General features: G+C 39.5%; 1 protein-coding gene and 1 pseudogene across 4 annotated transcripts in view; both read right to left on the bottom strand.

The window, feature by feature from the left end:
- Positions 1-19,247, bottom strand: part of EEF1AKMT1 (EEF1A lysine methyltransferase 1) — a 45,231-nt gene that overhangs the window by 15,627 nt on the left and 10,357 nt on the right. For all 4 annotated transcript variants that reach the window (NR_134934.2, NM_001318939.2, NM_174928.3 and 1 more), the window contains exon 2: positions 13,098-13,260. Coding sequence is in view for 3 of the 4 variants with exons in the window: in NM_001318939.2 (NP_001305868.1) it covers positions 13,098-13,241 (144 nt within the window). In the remaining variant the exon portion in view is untranslated. The remainder of the gene's footprint in view (positions 1-13,097; positions 13,261-19,247) is intronic.
- On the bottom strand, positions 3,408-3,745 carry RANP8 (RAN pseudogene 8; annotated as a pseudogene).

Here is a 19,247-nt window from a genome sequence, read left to right on the forward strand (position 1 = left end):
TTTTAATAATCACCATTCTAACTGGAGTGAGATGGTATCTCGTTGTGGTTTTGATTTGCATTTCTCTAATGACCAGTGACGTTGAGCTTTTGTTCATATGTTTATCAGTCACATAAATGTCTTCTTTCCTTTCGAGAAGTGTCTGTTCACATCCTTTGCCCACTTTTTGATGGGGCTGTTTTTTTCTTGTAAATTTGTTTATGTTCCTTATAGATTCTGGATATTAGACCTTTGTCAGATGAGTAGATTGCAAAAATTTTCTCCCATTCTGTAGGCTGCTGTTCACTCTGACGATAGTTTCTTTTGCTCTGCAGAAGCTCTTTAGTTTAATTAGATCCCATTTGCCAATTTTGGCTTTTGTTGCCATTGCTTTTGGTGTTTTAGTCATGAAGTCTTTGCCCATGCCTATGTCCTGAATGGTATTGCCTAGGTTTTCCTCTAGGGTTTTTATGATTTGGGGGTTTTACATTTAAGTCTTTAATTCATCTTCAGTTAATTTTTTTATAAGGTGTAAGGAAGGGGCCCAGTTTCTCTTTTCTGCATATGGCTAGCCAGTTTTCCCAGCATCCTTTATTAAATAGGGAATCCTTTCCCCATTGCTTGTTTTTGTCAGGTTTGTCAAAGATCAGATGGTTGTAGATATGTGGTGTTATTTCTGAGATCTCTGTTCTGTTCCATTGGTCTATATATCTGTTTTGGCAACAGTGCCATGCTGTTTTGGTTACTAGCCTTGTAGTATAGTTTGAAGTCAGGTAGTGGATGCCTCCAGCTTTGTTCTTTTTGCTTAGGATTGTCTTGGCTATACGGGCTCTTTTTTCTTTCCATATGAAATTTAAAGTAGGTTTTTCTAATTCTGCAAAGAAAGTCAATGGTAGCTTGATGGGAATAGCATAGAATCTATAAATTACTTTGGGCAGTATGGCCATTTTCAAAATATTGATTCTTCCTATCCAAGGGCATGGAATTTTTTTCCATTTGTTTATGTTCTCTCTTATTTCCTTGAGCAGTAGTTTGTAGTTCTCCTTGAAGAGGGTCCTTCACGTCCCTTGTAAGTTGTATTCCTAGGTATTTTCTTCTCTTTGTAGCAACTGTGAATGGGAGTTCACTCATGATTTGGCTCTCTGCTTGTCTATTATTGGACCTTTTAAAAGGTTTATCTGGATGGTCTTACTAATATGGAATGGTTCTAAATCACTCAAAACAAGATGGCAGGCCAGGCACGGTGGCTTACGCCTGTAATCCCAGCACTTTGGGAGGCTGAAGTGGGTGGATCATGAGGTCAGGAGTTCAAGACCAGCTTGGTCAAGATGGTGAAACCCCATCTCTTCTAAAAATACAAAAATTAGCTGGGCATGGTGGCAGGAGCCTGTAATCCCAGCTACTTGGGAGGCTGAGGCAGAGAACTGCTTGAACCTGGGAGGCAGAGGTTGCAGTAAGCCGAGATTGTGCCACTGCACTCCAGCCTGGGTGACAGAGCGAGACTACATCTCGAAAAAAATAAAAATAAAAATAAAAATAAAACAAGATGGCATTCAAAATGACTATAACAATTAAAACAAGGTACAATTCAAAGTGGCACGTGGTATGAATGAAAACATTAATAACACATCTTTAAACCAATAAATATTTACTGAATATAATGAAAAAGAGAATTGCTTCAAATATTTCCCATCTGGATGTCTGCATGCTATTTATTGAATATTCACTCATAAGTCCACGTTTAAAATATTTCCAAAGACAAATATACATATATACATGTGGGTATATGTATTAATTCATATCTACATCTGTCTATCCATTATTTTTTTTTTTTAGACAGAGTCTCACTCTTGTCACCCAGGCTGGAGTGCAATGGCACAATGTCGGCTCACTGCAGCCTCCACTTCCCAGGTTCAAGTGATTCTCCTGCCTCAGCCTCCCAAGTAGCTGGGATTACAAGTCCATGCCACCACACCTGGCTATTTTTTGTATTTTTAGTAGAGACGGGGTTTCACCATGTTGGTCAGGCTGGTCTCGAACTCCTGACCTTGTGATCCACCTGCCTTGGCTTCCCAAAGTGCTGGGATTAGAGGCATGAGGCACCGTGCCTGGCCATGTCTATCCATTCTTATCTACAGGAAAAATGGCAGCTCTGACCTCTACCTCTGCAAAGGACATCTGGAAGAAAGCCCCTAGCATACAGAGAATGGAAGGGCTTTGAGTTCACTTGATTTCGGAGGTGGCAGACAGTATCTGCTATCATGCACCGTAAGTGGTAAGAGTTGTCTGCTGGTTTACTACTGAACTGCCCTTCTTCCTCACTCCAACACCATCAGGGCACAATGATAGATTTTGGCTCTCCTCATATCATTCCATAAAGATAAAGAGTCCCACTCCATTTTTTAAGATATCTGAAATACAACCTTATTCTGATTCTAAATGAAAAGGAATAAGAATGACAGTAACAAACAAGATTTCACCACTGAGCATTGTGATGTGATTGTAGCAGTCTTGTATTTGAAACTCAAGAAGGAATCAACTGCATTCCAAAACAGCTAAATATGCAAGTCTGAACAATTAAGGTATTTTTAAAATGGTGACATTTACTTTGAAGCCCATTCATCTCCAGCATCCCACAGATGAAGCACACGTTCCACTTACCTACATAATAAATGGGCACATTTGTTACCTACATAATAAATGTTGCACTGCTGATATCACAGGACAAATAAAACTAGACTTCTGATGCTAGGCTCCAGCTTCATTCTCACAGGTTATCACCCTCATCAGGGAGATGATGATCTCTGAACAACTTCTATTTAAATCGTGCTCATATTGCACTGTTGATGCTGAGTCCATGACAGCCTCTGATGGGGCAAGGGCAGGTATGGCAACAAACTCCAAGTTAGGGTCTCCAATAAGCTTCCTAGCAAGCCAGAGGAAGAGCTTTTCAAAGTTGCAGTAACTTTTGGCAGAAATGTCATAGTACTGAAGATTCTTCTTTTGGTGGAAGAGAACGGATTTTGCCTTCACTTTCCTGTCCTTTATACCCACTCAGTTGCCCTCAACACAATGGGGATGTTTTCACATAAACGTACCAGATCTCTGTGCCAGTTAGGCACATTCTTTTTTTTTTTTTTTTTTTTTGAGATGGAGTGTCTCTCTGTCACCCAGGCTGGAGTGCAATGGCACGATCTCAGCTCACTGCAGCCTCCACCTCCCGGGTTCAAGAGATTCTTCTGCCTCAGCCTCCCAAGTAGCTGGGATTACAGGCACATGCCACCATGCCTGGCTAATTTTTCTATTTTTGTAGAGACGGGGTTTCACCATGTTGGCCAGGCTGGTCTTAAACTCCTGACCTCAGGTGATCTGCCCACCTCGGCCTCCCAAAGTGCTGGGATTACAGGCGTGAGCCACCACAGGATCTCGGCACATTCTTGTAAGTAACTCTCGATATCACATCAAACATTATAATGGCATGCTGGGCTTGGATATAATAGCCATCTCTCACTCCACCAAATTTCTTCTGGCCAGCTGTATCCCATACAATGAATGGGTCCTCTGTTGGTGTGCAACACAAGGCAATGAACCTCAATACCCAAGGTAGCTATGTACGTCTCAAATTCACCAACTGACATTTCATAAATCTAGTTTTTCCAGTACCACCATCACCAACCAATACAAGTTTGAACTGGACTTGGGACTCTCCTTGGGCAGTCATCATGATGTTCCTTCCAGAATCGTCTTTGTGCCTGTCCAACTGAGGAGAACCCTGCCCTTAATATGTTACATGAACATGGCTTTAAAAGTCAAAAGCAGGCCGGGCGCAGTGGCTCACGCCTGTAATCCCAGCACTTTGGGAGGCCGAGGCGGGCGGACCATGAGGTCAGGAGATTGAGACCATCTGGCTAACATGGTGAAACCCCGTCTCTACTAAAAATACAAAGAAATTAGCCGGGCATGGTGGCGGGCGCCTGTAGTCCCAGCTACTCAGGAGGTGAGGCAGGAGAATGGCGTGAACCCAGGAGGCGGAGCTTGCAGTGAGGCGAGATCGCGCCACTGCACTCCAACCTGGGCGACAGAGCTAGACTCCGTCCAAAAAAAAAAAAAAAGTCAAAAGCACTACTAGGCTTATAAAGAAAAACAATAGTCTTCTATCCCATGACCCCCTGCCATTGAGCCTCACTCCTCAGAAGCAACCATTTTCAATTCTTGGCTCTTTCTCTGATCATTTATTGCCACATCTCTAAATACTACGTTTTAAATGCTATCCCTTGATAATCCACCTATATATACTATGGATTTATTATGATAGATGAGGATTTTTGCTCTCTCATACACATCATTTGCCTTTTCTTCACCCTCCTAATGTATAGTTGTTTTTTTTTGGTTTTTTTTTTTTTTTTTTTTTGAGACAGAGTCTCACTCTGTCACCCAGGCTGGCATGCAGTGGCATGATCTCGGCTCACTGCAACCTCTGCCTCCCAGGCTCAAATGATCCTCCCACCTCAGGCTCCCAAGTAGCTGGGACTACAGGCACGCGCCACCATACCTGGCTAATTTTTGTATTTTGAGTAGACATGGGATTTGCCATGTTGGCCAGGATGGTCTCAAACTCCTGACCTCAGGAGATCTACCCCGCTAGGCCTCTCAAAGTGGGTAGAATTACAGGCGTGAGCCATCGTGCCCAGCCCCAATGTAGTTTTAAAGCAAGTTTTGGTTAGTTAGAATTAAGTGTCAGTGTTCATTATTGAGCCAAGTGGTATACTATAATTGCTTTTCCTTTCAGTAGAATTCCTTTTTGTTTTTCCTAGAGTAAGTAAATGCATGACTGTTTCATTTGCTTGGTTAGTTTATATTTATCCCTAATTCTTCTAACATCCTCTATTGGCCTTTCAATACAATTTTCTACATATTGGATATCCTATCACTTTTGTATTTCCCCTGAAGATCTCTGTCCTGGAACACACCATCCTCCTACTACAATGTAGATTGGCTGCTCTCCAGACTTGCAGCACAACCATTACACTGGGACATTCTGTGTCACCATCATCCTGGGAATTCCCTCTCCTACTATATGCATCAGATTTCCTATTCCTTGGAGCTCATGTCTTCTTTCTTCTCACTTGCAGCAAACCCTCCTGCAGCTCTTGAGAAGTACACAAGAGGTCAATGTAATGAGACTTGTCATATCTAAAATGTTTTTATTTTATCCTCACACGAGTAATAGTTTAGCTGGGTATAGAATTCTAGGCTACAGTTGGGTGTGGTAGTATGTGTATAATCCCAGCTACTCAGGAAGCTGAGTTGAGGATTGCTTGAGCCCAGGAGTTTGAGACTAGCCTGGGCAACATAGTGAGACTCCATTTCAAAAAAAGAAAGAAAAGAAAAGGAAAAATAATTCTAGGGTGAACAAAATTTTCACTCAAAATATTGAATGTATCACTCTATTTTTAAAAGTTTCTAATAAAGCTATTGAGAAGTGCAATGTAACTCATAGTCCGAAGACTTTGTAGGAGACCGTTTTTCTTCTGGAAGGCTCTAGGATGTTCTTTGTCATCTGTATCCAGAATTTTCATAATCATCATAATCATGTATCTTAATGAGGGTCTTCAGTTCTGGGAAATTTCTAATATTCTTTAAAGCTTTCCTTCCCTCTTCATTTTTTGTTCTGTTTTTCTGGAATCTTATTTGTTGAATATTGAGCCTCCTGGATTTATCTGCTAGTTTTCCAATGTCTTCTTTCCTATTTGTACATATTTATGGGATACATGTGATATTTTGTTACATGCACAGAATGTGTAATGATCAAGTCAGGGTACTTAGGGTATCCATCACCTTGAGTATTTATCACCTGTTGGGAACATTTCAAGTCCTCTCTGCTAGCTATATTGCAATATACAATACACTAATTGTTAACTATAGTCACCCTACTGTGCTATAGAACATCAGATCTTATTCCTTCTATTTAGCTATATGGTTGTACTCATTTACCAATCTCTTTTCATCACCCCCACCCCACCTTCCCAGCCTCTGGTATCTATCATTCTATTCTCTATCTCCATGACATCAACATTTTTAGCCTTCGCATATAAGAACATGCAATATTTGTCTTTCTGTGCCTGGCTTATTTCACTTAACATAATGACCTCCCGTTCCATCCACTTTGCTGCAAATGACATAATTTCACTACTTTTTATGGCTAAACAGTATTCCATTGTGTATATACACCACATTTTCTTTATCCATTAATTTATTGACGGACAGGTTGATTCCTATCCTTGTTATTGTGAATAGTGCTGCAAGAAACATGAGGAGCAGGTACGTTTTTGATATACTAATTTCTTTTCCTTTGAATAAATGTTCAGTAGTGAGACTGCTAGGTCATATGGTAATTCTGGTTTTAGTTTTTTGAGAAATCACCATACTGTTTTCCACAGTAGCTATAGTAATTTACATTCCCACCAACGGTGTATAAGAGTTCCCTTTCCTCCACACCCTTACCAGTACCTGGTATTTTTAATCTTTTTAACAATAGCCATTCTGGGATAACATTACATCTCACTGTGGTTTTGATTTGCATAACTTTAATGATTAGTAATGTTGAGCTCTTCCTCATATACCAGTTGGCCATTTGTATGTCTTCTTTTGAGAAATGTCTATTCAGGTCCTTTGCCCATTTTAATGGGATTATTTGGTTTTGAAATTTTAGTTGAGTTTCTTATATATTCTAGATACGAGTCCCTTGTCAGATGAATAGTTTTCAAATATTTTACACATCTCAATGGGTTGCCTCTCCATTCTGCTGATTGTTTCCTTTGCTGTGTAGAAGCATTTAAATATCATAGAGTCCCATTTGTCTATTTTTGTTTCTTGTGCTTTTGAGGTCTTAGCCATGAAATCTTTGCCTAGACCAACGTTCTGAAGTGTGTCCCTTATGTTTTTGTCTAGAAGTTTTATAGTTTCAGGATATATGCTTACGTCTAATCCATCTTGAGTTGACTTTTGCATATGGTGAGAGATAGGGGTCCTGTTTCATTCTTCTGCATATGGATATCTAATATTTCTAGCACCATTTATTGAAGAGGTGTCCTTTCCCCTTGGCACCTTTGTCAAAAATCAGTTGGCTATAGATATGTGGATTAATTTCTGGGTTCTCTATTCTGTTCCATTGGTCTATGTGTCTGTTGTAATACCGATACCATGCTGTTTTGGTTACTACAGCCTTGTAACATCATTTGAACTCAGGTAGTGTGATGCCTCCACCCTTGTTCTATTCGCTCAGGATTGCTTTGGCCATTCAGGCTGTTTTTGGGTTCCACAGGAATTTCAGGACTTTTTTTTTTCTGTGAAAAATGACATTAGTATTGATAGGGATTGTACTGGATATATACATTGCTTTGGGTATAATCATTTTAACTACGATTATTCTTTCAATCCGTGAGCACGGGATGTCTTTCCATTTGTTGGTGTCTTCAATTTCTTTCCTCAGAGTTTTGTAGTCTTCCTTGTAGACACCTTTCACCTCCTTGGTTAAATTTATTACTAGGTATTTCTTTTTTTTGTAGCTATTGTAAACAGGATTGCCTTCTCGATTTCTTTCTCAGCTAGTTCATTACTGGTGTATGGAAATGCTACTGATTTTTGTATGTTGATTTTGTATCCTGCAATCTTATTGAATTTATAAGATCTAAAAGTTTTTTCCTGGAGTCTTTAGGTTTCTCTAGGTGTAAGATCATGTCATGTCATCTATAAAGAGGGACAATTTGACTTCCTCTTTTCCAATTTAGATGCTTTTTATTTCTTTTTGTTGCCCGATTGTCCTAGTTAGGACTTCCAGTACTATGTTAAATAGCAGTGGTGGAAGTGGGCATGCTTATCTTATTCCTGATCTTAGAGGAAAGACTTTCAGCTTTTCCCCATTCAGTATGATGTTAGCTGTGGGTTTATCATATATAGCCTTTATTATGATGAGGTATGTTCCTTTATGCCTAGTTTGTTGAGAGTTTTTATCATGAAGGGATGTTGAATTTTTTAAAATGCTTTTTCTGCAGCTATTGAGATGATCATATAACATTTGTCCTTCAGTCTGTTGATGTGGTGTATTATGTTTGTTGATTTGCAGGTGTTGAACCTTCCTTGAATCTCCAGGATAAATCCCACTTAATCATGGTGTAATTTTTTTTGATGTACTATTGGGTTCTATTTACTAGTATTTTGTTGAGGACTTTTGTGTCTATATTCATCTGGGATACTGGCCTGTAATTTTCTTTATTTCTTACATTATTGTCTGGTTTTGGTGTCAGGATAATGCTGGCCTCATAGAATGAATTAGGGAGAATTCTCTCCACTTCAAACTTCTGGAATAATTTAAAGATAATTGGTATTGATTATTCTTTTTAAGTTTGGTAGAATTCAGCAGTAAAGTCATCTGGTCCTGGACTTCAGTTGTAATGTCCCCTTTATTTCTGATTTTATTTATTTTTGTCTTTTGTTTTTTTTTCTTGGTTAGTCTAGCTAGTAGTTTACTGGTTTTCCCTATGTTTTCAAAAAGCCAACTTTTCATTGATCCATTGAATATTTTTTATTCTGCATTTTGTTTGGTTCTGTCTGCTCTTCATTATTTCTTTCCTTCTACTCATTTTGGGACTGGTTTGTTCTTGCTTTTCTAGTTTCTTAAGGTGCATTGTTAGATTATTTATTTGAAACCTTCCTACTTTCTAGATGTAGATTTTTATTGCTATAAACTTCACTCTTAGCACTGTTTTTGCTGTATTCCATAGATTTCGGTATGTTGTGTTTTGATTTTCCATTGTTTCAGGAAATTTTTGGACTTCCTCTTTAATTTCATCCCTGACCTAATGATCATTCAGGAGCATATTTAAATTCCCTGTATTTTTAGTTTCCAAAGTTTCTCCTGTTATTGATTTCTAGTTTTATTGTGTTATGACCTGAGAAGATATCTGACATTTCAATTTTTCAAAAATTGTTGAGACTTGTTTTCTGTCCAAACATAACCACATGGAACTGGAGAAGGTTCCATGTGATGATGAGAAGAATGCATATTCTGTAGCTGTTGGATGCTATGTTCTACAAACGTCTCTTAAGTCCATTGGTCTAAAGTGCAGTTTAAATACAATGTTTCTTTGTTAATTTTCTATGTAGATGATCTATCTAATGTTGGAGTATCCAGCTATTACTGTATTCGTGCCTATCTCTCCTTTTAGATGTAATAAGATCTGCTTTATACCTCAGATGCTCCAGTGTTGGGTCCATATATGTTTGGAATCATTGTTTACTCTAGCTGAATTGATCCCTTTATCATTATATGATAACCTTGTTTCTTTGTACTGTTTTTTTACTTAAAATCTGCTTTATCTGATATAAGCACAGCTAGTCCTGCTTGTTTTTGGCTTCCTTGTGCATGGAATATCTTTTTTTTTCCATCCCTTTACTTTCAGTCTGTATGTCTTTACAGGTGAGATGAGTTTCTTGTAGGCAGCATATAGGTGGATCAGGTTTTTTTTTCTTTAAATCTGTTCAGGCAGTCTCTATCTTCTAAGAGGAAAGTGTAATCCATTTACATTCAAGGTTGTTGTTGATATGTGAGGGCTTATTCCTATCATTCTATTAATTTATTTCTGGTTACCTTGTATATCCTTTGTTCCTTTCTTTCTCTCTTATTGTTTGTCATTATGGTTTGGTGGTTTTCTGTGTTTGCTTTACCAGTGGGTTTTATACTTTAGTGTATTTCCATGATGGTAGATTTCATCCTTTTGCTTCAATGCATAGGACTCCTTTAAGTATTTCTTGCAGGGCTGGTCTAGAGGTGATGAATTTCCTCAGCTTTTACTTGTCTGGGAGTCTTGATTTCTCCTTCATTTATGAAGAATAATTTTGCTGGGTATAGAATCTTTTGTTGGCAGTTTTTTTTTCTTTTTTTTTCTTTCAATATTTTGAATATATCACCCCATTCCCTCCTGGCATGTAAGATTTCTGCTGAGAATATGCTGTTAGTCTGATGAAGTTTCCCTTTTAAGTGACTAGTCACTTTTGTCTTGCTGTTTTTAGAATTCTCTCTTTGACTTTTGACTTCTGACAGTTTGACAATAATGTGGCATGAAGAATGCTTTTTTGAATTTAATCTGTTTGGGAATCTCTAAGCTTCCTGTATCTGGATGTGTTAATCTCTTGCTAGACTTGGGAAGTTTTCAGCTATTATTCCATGAAATAGGTTTTCGATCTCTTTTGTCTTCTCTTTGCCTTCTGGGACCCTGAAAAATTTTTAAAAGCCGGGCACAGTAGCTCCTGCCTGTAATCCCAGTACTTTGGGAGGCCAAGGCAGGCAGATCATTTCAAGGCCAGCCTGGCCAACATGGTAAAACCCTGTCTCTACCAAAAATACAAAAAAAAAAAAAAAAAAAAAAATCACTAGGTGTAGTGGCACATGCCTGTAGGCACAAGAATCGCTTGAACCAGGGAGGCAGAGGTTGCAGTGAGCCGAGATGGCACCACTGCACTCCAGCCTGGGTGACAGAGTGGGACTCCGCCTCGGAGAAAAAGAAAATTAAAAAAAAAAATTGGCCACTTATGGTTTTCCTTTACGTCATGTAGGGGAAGATGGAGCCAGGCTGAGCAGGCCTGTACTCAGGATTCCAGGTGGGAACAGCAGTAGCTGTGCTATTCTTAGGGAGGGTGGTGTGGCTTTCAGTGGCAGCAGCCATAAACAGGAGGTTGGGAAGTGCACACTTTGGCTCTAGTCATGGCTATAAGCAGGGTAGCTTTTCCTAGGGGAACTTTTAATTGTGCAGTGATCCTGCTACTACTGGCAGTGGGGTTGCTTTGCTGCCAATGGCTCACACTTCAGCCCTGGTGGCAGCAGACCACAGCAACCTCAGCTGAGTCTGGGGGAAGTCAATGGGGCTCCAGAGATGTGGAGATGCAGGGGCTGCTGGGTGTCATGGCAGGATGCAGTCTTGTGGGAGCTGGGCTTTCAAAATGGTGCCTTGTGTGGGACTTGGCATGTGCTCCCTATCTGGAGCAAAGCCATCACGTGGTCTCCAGGCAGTTCCCTATGTTTGCCTCAGGGCCTTCATGGGCCAAAAGGGCTCTTCTGTGGCTAGAACTGCAGAATCCTTGGTGGGAATATAAACTGCTAGAAGTCACTCACTTAGCCTTTCCCCACAATGGGGAGCCTCTCCAGGATCCTAATTGATCCCTGTCAAGCAGGCTGCCTCACTTCCTCTCCTTCCTCACCTTAGGTGTTTCCTGTCACTTCCCTGTTGAATTCCAGCATTCTCTCTAAGGTAGTCTATTTGAAGTGAGATTATTGGCTCAATATTTTGGTTCTTATTTGTGGAGGAGGCAAGTACCCAATACCTCTAGTCAGACATCATGGCTAAATCTTGTCTGTCAATTTTTATGCTTTCTATATTTCCTCAATTTTATAATCAAACCAAAGTTTCAAAATTAGAAAAGGTGTTAATTCTAAGCAGTGGGATTGGACTAGTTTTCATAATTAGAAAAAAAGTACATAGTATTTTAAAAATTAAGCAGAAGGAAAAAAGAAAAAGACAGACCACCTCAAGAATAATGCAGTACTTCAAATTTCCTATATTTGTTAGTTACAGAAGCATCAAGCTAGAAGGTAAACAGACATAAAGAAGGGAAACAGTGAGAAAGAGGCTTTAGAATAAGTGGAACATGTGGAATAAATGGAAATAAAAATGTTTATCACAGTTAGTTTCAAACAGGGTAAATAGGAAAAGTTTATATAACTCAGAGATCCAAACTAGACACAAAAATATTAAAGACTATCAAAAAATGATAAGCATACAGAAGCTTCCTTCCAGTTGCAAAGTGTTGAAGATACACCTATTATCAAGGGGTAGTCACAGACAAACTTCAAGCCTTTTCTGTTTCCCAACTATTTCCTTTAAAAAAAAAAATTATAGGTTCCAGGTCATGTTAGGAGTTTCCTTCAACTCATTTTTTTCTAATCCCTATTGTAATTCAGATGATAAAAATATAATTGAAATATACATTATACACCAGAAACTATTAGTATCTTCTTTAAATTTCCTTCTCATCAATTTTTCAATACATGTTTAAGTTCAGTTCCCCAATTTCCGGCAATGATAATATTTTCTCTTTCCACCAGGATTTCTGGGGTCCATAAAAACCGGTGGGGTGTATCTGTAGCCAAAAATGAAGCAGAAGTTTGTATTGGATGTAATAACGTATTATTGACAGAGGCAGACAAATGCCTAGGCAGATGGGGTGGGTCCCCAGTAAAACCCCGCCTCCAAGATGAAGACAGTTTAAAGCCTGAAAGCCAAGCTACAAGTTAAATCCTTGGACCAGATTGAGAACTTGTCTTCCTGTTTGCACACTTTCCTCTGATTGTTCTCCACCCTTTACCTATTTTACATATACTTACCCTTTCCTACTTGTTTTTTCTACACTGTTGTGCCCACCTTTGAGTGGTGCCTTCACCTTTACCTTTTTTGCATACTCACAAACCAACAGCACACACTCCCCATTCTGAGTCCATAAAGGGCCCCAGACCCAACCACATGGGGTAACCATCCCCTAAACCTGCATCCCGTCTCTGCTGAAAGCAGTTTTCATCACTCATTAACATTCTTCCCCACCCTCTTCACCCTCCAATGTCCCTCATATCCTCATTCTTCTTGGACGCAGTAGAAGAACTTGGGAACCGCCGAACGTGGGTACGAGCTATAACACAGCCAAGCTGGGGCACACCAGCGTGGCCGAGCAAGGCCCAGGAGGGGTGTTGCCAGCTGAGGGTCCCCGGCTTGCAAAGTGACCAAGAGGAGAAATCCTGCATCATTATCTCCTTATCTGAAAAACCCCATCTTCTGATCACCAACCAGCCTGATAGTCAGAATCAAGAACAGCTGTTCAAGAAAAGCTGTTACACTGTTCTAAAATGTTCACTGACTGCTTTCTGTCTTAGCTCCCCATAGAGAAGTTCAGATCCCAAATGACAGGTGACAGAGATTCCGGTTTTAGGTGAGACAGACAAACACTGGACTAATGCACAGAGTAGGTTCCACATCAATACTTCCTGATGGCTGTGAAATGCATTTACTTACCCAATTCTCTTCTATTATTCCAATGTTATATTTATCATCCTCGCCTGGCTCAATTTGTTGCTTTTGCTCAGCATAAAATTCCTGGAGAGCTGCTAAGGCATGGGCAGAAAGCTGGGGTGTCTCATCATCTTCCAAATCACTCATTTCACAAGTTGTTTATAACCTGCAGATCAAGAAATAAATGTTCTGTGCAGATTTTGTTTCCCCTTCCCAGCCAGTAATAATTTTTAAAAATTTTTATTTAACAGCAAGGATCCAAACTGAAGTGAGTTTTATACAAGTAAACCAAAAATAAAATTCTAAGCCCCCCAGCCAACTGAATAAATCCCTCTTCTGTGGCCAAGTAAACCTGAAAAACCAGGCCACGATGGGAAGGACATGTCTCATTATACTCTCCTTCCTTTGTAATTCAGACACAACTGACCAGTATAAACATTAAAACAGAGATCTTAAGAGTGACAAAACAGACTCTTTGTAGCAATAAGATATCAAATTCCAATCTGACTCTAGTATAGTACACACAACAGGTAACAGGCCCCGAAAGAAGTTGAAGTATTTTATCCCCAAATATATTTTTTGACATATTTTGAAATGGCCCTGCAAAGCTGTCTCCTGTGGAGAAAATCTACAAACTGCAGATAATCCCCTTCCCTTTCCAGGTCTTCTCCTGACCCAGGAGAAATTAATTAAGAGTCTGGCACCTTTTTCGGTCTGATAGAGGCATTTTAGCATCTATTCTCTCTGAAGCCTGCTGCCTGCAGGTTTCATCTACATAATAATAAGAACCTTGGTCTCCAGAACCCCTTATCTTAATCCAGACACTCCTTTCCATTGATTCCAAGATAATAACTTAACTCTTTCAACCAACTGCCAATCAAAACAATTTTTGAATCTACCTATGACCAGGAAGCCCTCCACTTCCAGTTGTCCTGCCTTTCTGGACCAAACCAATATATGCCTTACATGTACTGATTGATGTCTTATGTCTCCTTAAAATATATAAAGCCAATTTCTTCTGAATAATTTTATTTATATACATACAATAAACAAATTATGGCATATAAATCAAGTATCAGTATTTTGGCTAGCTTATATATCCTCAGTATGAAAAACAGATGGTCGACATAAGAGTAGATCATACTGCCCAAAGCAATCTACAGATTCAATACAATTCCTAACAAATTACAAACATCATTTTTCACAGAATTAAAAAAAATTCTAAAATTCATATGGAACTAAAAAAGAGAATGAATAGCCAAAGCAATCCTAAGCAAAAAGAACAAAGCTAGAAGCATCCCACTACCTGACTTCAAACTATACTACAAGGCTATAATAACCAAAACAGCATGGTACAGATAAAAAAACAGATACATAATCAATGGAATACAATAGAGAACCCAGAAATAAAGCCACACACGTACAATCAACTGGTCTTCGATCAAGTCAACAAAAATAAACAATGGGGAAAGGATATTCTATTCAATAAATGGTGCTGGGAAAACTAGCTAGCCATTTGCAGAAGAGTAAAACTGGACGCCTACCTCTCACCAGATAGAAACATTAACTCAAGATGTATTAAAGACTGAAATGTCACACCTGAAACTATAAAAACTCAAGGAGAAAACTTAAGAAAAAACTCTTTGGACATTGGCTTAGGCAAAGAATTTATGACAGACCTCAAAAGTAATTGCAACAAAATCAAAAATTGACCAATGGTAAAGCTCTGCACAGCAAAAGCAACAATCAACAAAGTAAACAGACAACCTACAGAATCAGAAAAAATATTTGCAAACTATGCATCCAACAAAGGAGTAATATGCAGAATCTATAAGAAACTTAAATCGGCCGGGCGCCGTGGCTCACGCCTGTAATCGCAGCACTTTGGGAGATGGAGGCGGGTGGATCATGAGGTCAGGAGATCGAGACCATCCTGGCTAACACAGTGAAACCCCGTCTCTACTAAAAAATACAAACAATTCGCCAGGCATGGTGGCGGGCATCTGTAGTCCCAGCTACCCGGGAGGCTGAGGCAGGAGAATGGCGTGAACCTGGGAGGCGGAGCTTGCAGTAAGCCGAGATGGCGCTACTGCACTCCAGCCTGGGTGACAGAGCAAGACTCCGTCTCAAAAACAAAAAACAAACAAAAAACGAAACAAAAAAAAAAAGAAACTGAATTAAATCAACAAGAAAAAAAAGGAATTGCATTAAAAAGTGGGCAAAGTACATGATTAATAGAAGGCATACAAGTGGCCAAGAAACATGAAAAAATGCTCAGCATCACTAATTATCAGAGAAGTGCAAATTAAAATCACAATGAGATGCCATCTCACACCAGTCGGAATGGCTATTATTAAAAAGTCAAAAAATAGGACGGGCACAGTGGCTCATGCCTGTAATCCCAGCACTTTGGGAGGCCAAGGCCAGTGGATCACGAGGTCAGGAGATTGAAACCATCCTAGCTAACACAGTCAAACCCTGTCTCTACTAAACATACAAAAAAATTAGCCGGGTGTGGTGGCGGGCACCTGTAGTCCCAGCTACTCGGGAGGCTGAGGCAGGAGAATGGCGCGAACCCGGGAGGCGGAGCTTGCAGTGAGCTGAGATTGCGCCACTGCACCCCAGCCTGGGGAACAGAGCGAGACTCTGTCTCAAAAAAAAAAAAAAAAAAAAAGTCAAAAAATAACAGATGTGGGCAAGGATATGAGAAAAGGGAATGCTTATACACTGCGGGTATGAATGTAAGTTAGCTAATCCTATGTAAAACAAAAAGACCCCTGTACTAGGCTGTTTATTGCAGGACTATTCACAATAGTAAAGCCATGGAATCAACCTAAGCGTCCTATCAAAGATGGGCTGGATAAAGAAAATGTGCTACATATACACCATGGAATAGTACACAGCCATAAAAAAGAGTGAAATCATGTCCTTTGCAGCAACATGGATGCAGCTAGAGGCTATTATCCTACGTGAATTAAAAGAGAAACAGAAAACCAAATACCACATGCTCTCACTTGTAGACGGGAGCTAAACAATGGGTACAGGTGGACATAAAGACAGAAATAATAGATACTAGGGACTCCAAGAGAGGAGCCGGGAAGAGTGGGGGAAGGATTGAAAAAAACTACCCTATCAGATATTATGTTCAATATTGGGTGATGGGTTCACTAGAAACCCAAACTCCAGTATCACCCAATATACCCTGCACATGTATGCCCTGAATCTAAAATTAAAAATAAAATATGTTTTAAAATTTAAAAATATACATACTCTAAAAAATTAAAAAGAATACACAGATAAAACATCAAAATAATGGACACACTTAATGCTGATGAGAAGGTAGTGATATTGGTATACTCTCTAATTTAGATAACAATTTAAATTGGCATAATCTTTTGGAAAAGAATCTGATAATTTGGACATAAATATTTCTATTTTTCTACACCAATTCTCATTCCTAAGCTTTCTACTCTGAAATAATCACAGATTCACAGGAATGTGCAAAAATAATGAAGGTCCATCCCATGTATCCTTCCACCTATTTTTCCACAATGGTAGTAACTTATATAACTACAGTGCATTGTCAAACCAGGAAATGAACAGTACAATCCACAGAGCTCGTGCAGTTCACCAGTTTTACACACATTTATTTGCAGGCGTATGCACATGTGTATAGTTTTATATAATGATATCACGTGTAGATTCATGAAAACACTTCCATGGATAAGAGACAGAATATTCCAGCACCAAAGAGATGAGTTGTACTACCTTTTTAAAGTCATTCCCATCCTCTCCCACCTCAATCTCCATTCTTAACCCCTGGAAAGCATTTGTTCTCCGTTTCAATAATTTTGTCACTTTAGATAAATGGAATCATACATTATATAACTTGAGATTGTCATTTTCACTCAGCATGGTTTAAAATTTACCCAGGTTGTTCTGTGTATCAATAGTTTATTCCTTTTTATTGCTGAGTAGTAATCCATAGTATGGCCACACTTAACCATTCACCCACTAAAACATTTGGGTTGTTTCCAATTTTAAGGTATTACAAATAGAGCTGTTGTGAACATTCCTGTAAAATGTATAGGAATTTTCATTTTCATTTCTCTGGATAAATGCTCAAGAGTATGATGTTGGATTTTATGGTTAGAGTGTGTTTATTTTGAGGACATCAAAAAATTTATTTCATGATGATACATTATAAGAGGGTTTCATCAAATGAAGAACTGAATCCCTGTACTATGAGGTTTACTGTGGCCAGAGAAGTCAGGATTCTCTTTGCAGTCATGTAGTTGTTTTTGAAATGCCTATTGAAGTGAAATGTGCAAATTTTAAAACATTTGTATTGAGATCTAATTCATATACCATACAATTCATCTATTTAAAGTGTATAATTCAGGTGGAATGTGGGAGGCTGAGACAGGAGGATCACTTGAGCCTAGGAGCAGCCTGGGCAATACAGTGAGACCTTGTCTCTACAAAAATGTTTTTAAAAATTAGCTGAGTGTGATGGCATGTGCCTGTAGACCCAGCTACATGGGAGGCTGTGGTGGGAGGATCACTTGAGTCTGGAGGCATAGGATGCAGTGAGCCAAGATCATACCACTGTATTTCAGCCTGGGTAACAGAACGAGAACCTTTATTTTTCGGGGTCTTCCAATCCATAAAACATGGCACATCTCTCCATTTATTTAGTTCATCTTTGATGTATTTCATCAGTCTTTTTTTTTTTTTTTTTTTTAATTTGAGGCAGAGTCTTGCTCTGTTGCCCAGGCTGGAGTGCAGTGGTGCATTCTTGGCTCACTGCAACCTCCACCTCCTGGGTTCAAGCGATTCTCCCTGCTTCAGCAGCATCCCCAGTAGCTGGGATTACAGGCACCTGCCACCACGCCCAGCTAAATTTTTTTGCATTTTTAGTAGAGATGGGGTTTCACATGTTGGCCAGGCTAGTTTCGAACTCCTAACCTCAAGTGATCCGCCCACCTCGGCCTCCCAAAGTGCTGGGATTACAGGCATGAACCATCGTGCCTGGCCAGGACTTCTAGTGAGCTGAATAGGAGTGATAAGAGCAGATATCCTACACTTGTCCCAGATTTTAAGTGGGAAAGCATTCAATCTTTCACCATTAAATATGATGCAGCCACAACCTTCTGGGCTCAAGTGATCTTTCCACCTCAGCCTCCCAAGCAGCTGGGACTACAGGCATGCGCCACCATGCCCGGCTAACATTTTTATTTTTTGTAGAGATGGGGTCCCACTCTGGTGCCCAGGCTGGTCTCAAACTCCTGAGCTCAAGTGTTCCTCCTGCCTCAGCCTCCGAAAGTGCTGGGATTACAGGTGTGAGTCACTACACCCAGGGTGTAGATGTTCTATGTTAAGATGAGGACATTCCCTTTATTAGTAGTTTGCCAAGTTTCATCATGAATGGGTGTTGAATTTTCAAATAACTTTTTGATATCAACTTATACGATCATGTGATTTTTCTTTAACCTCATGATATAAATTAAACTGATTATCTATTAAACCAGTCTCACATTCCTGGAATAGGTTCCACTTAACTGATTCTTCTTATGTATTGCTAAATCATATTTACTAATATTTTGCTGAGGATTTCGTCACCTATCTTCATGAGGTATATTTGTCTATTGTTTTCGGTCTTTGTATTGTCTTTGGTTTTGGTAACAAGGTAATATTGGTCTCATCAAATAAACTAGAAATGTCTCCTCTTCTATTTTCTGGAAAAGACTGTGTACAATCAGTGCTAACGCAATAAACATTTGGTAATTTTTTTCAGTGAAATCATGTGCTATGGATTCAATTGACACACCACCCCCCTCCCACCCTGCACCCCATTTATATGTTAAAGCCTTAACCCTCATTGTAATTATATCTGGAGATGCTAGGTTGGTGCAAAGGTAATTGCTGTTTCTGCCATTACTTTTAGCCACCCAGTCTACGGTATTTTGTTATAGCATCCCTAGCATTTAAGGCCCGAAATTTTTGTTTTTTTTTTTTGAAACAGAATTTTGCTATTGTCGCCCAGGCTGGAGTGCAATGGCTCGATCTCAGCTCACGGCAACCTCCGCCTCCTGGGTTCAAGCGATTTTCCAGCCTCAGCCTCCCAAATAGCTGGGATTACAGGTGCCTACC

Source organism: Homo sapiens, chromosome 13 (genome assembly GCF_000001405.40).
Source record: "Homo sapiens chromosome 13, GRCh38.p14 Primary Assembly".
NCBI lineage: Eukaryota > Metazoa > Chordata > Mammalia > Primates > Hominidae > Homo > Homo sapiens.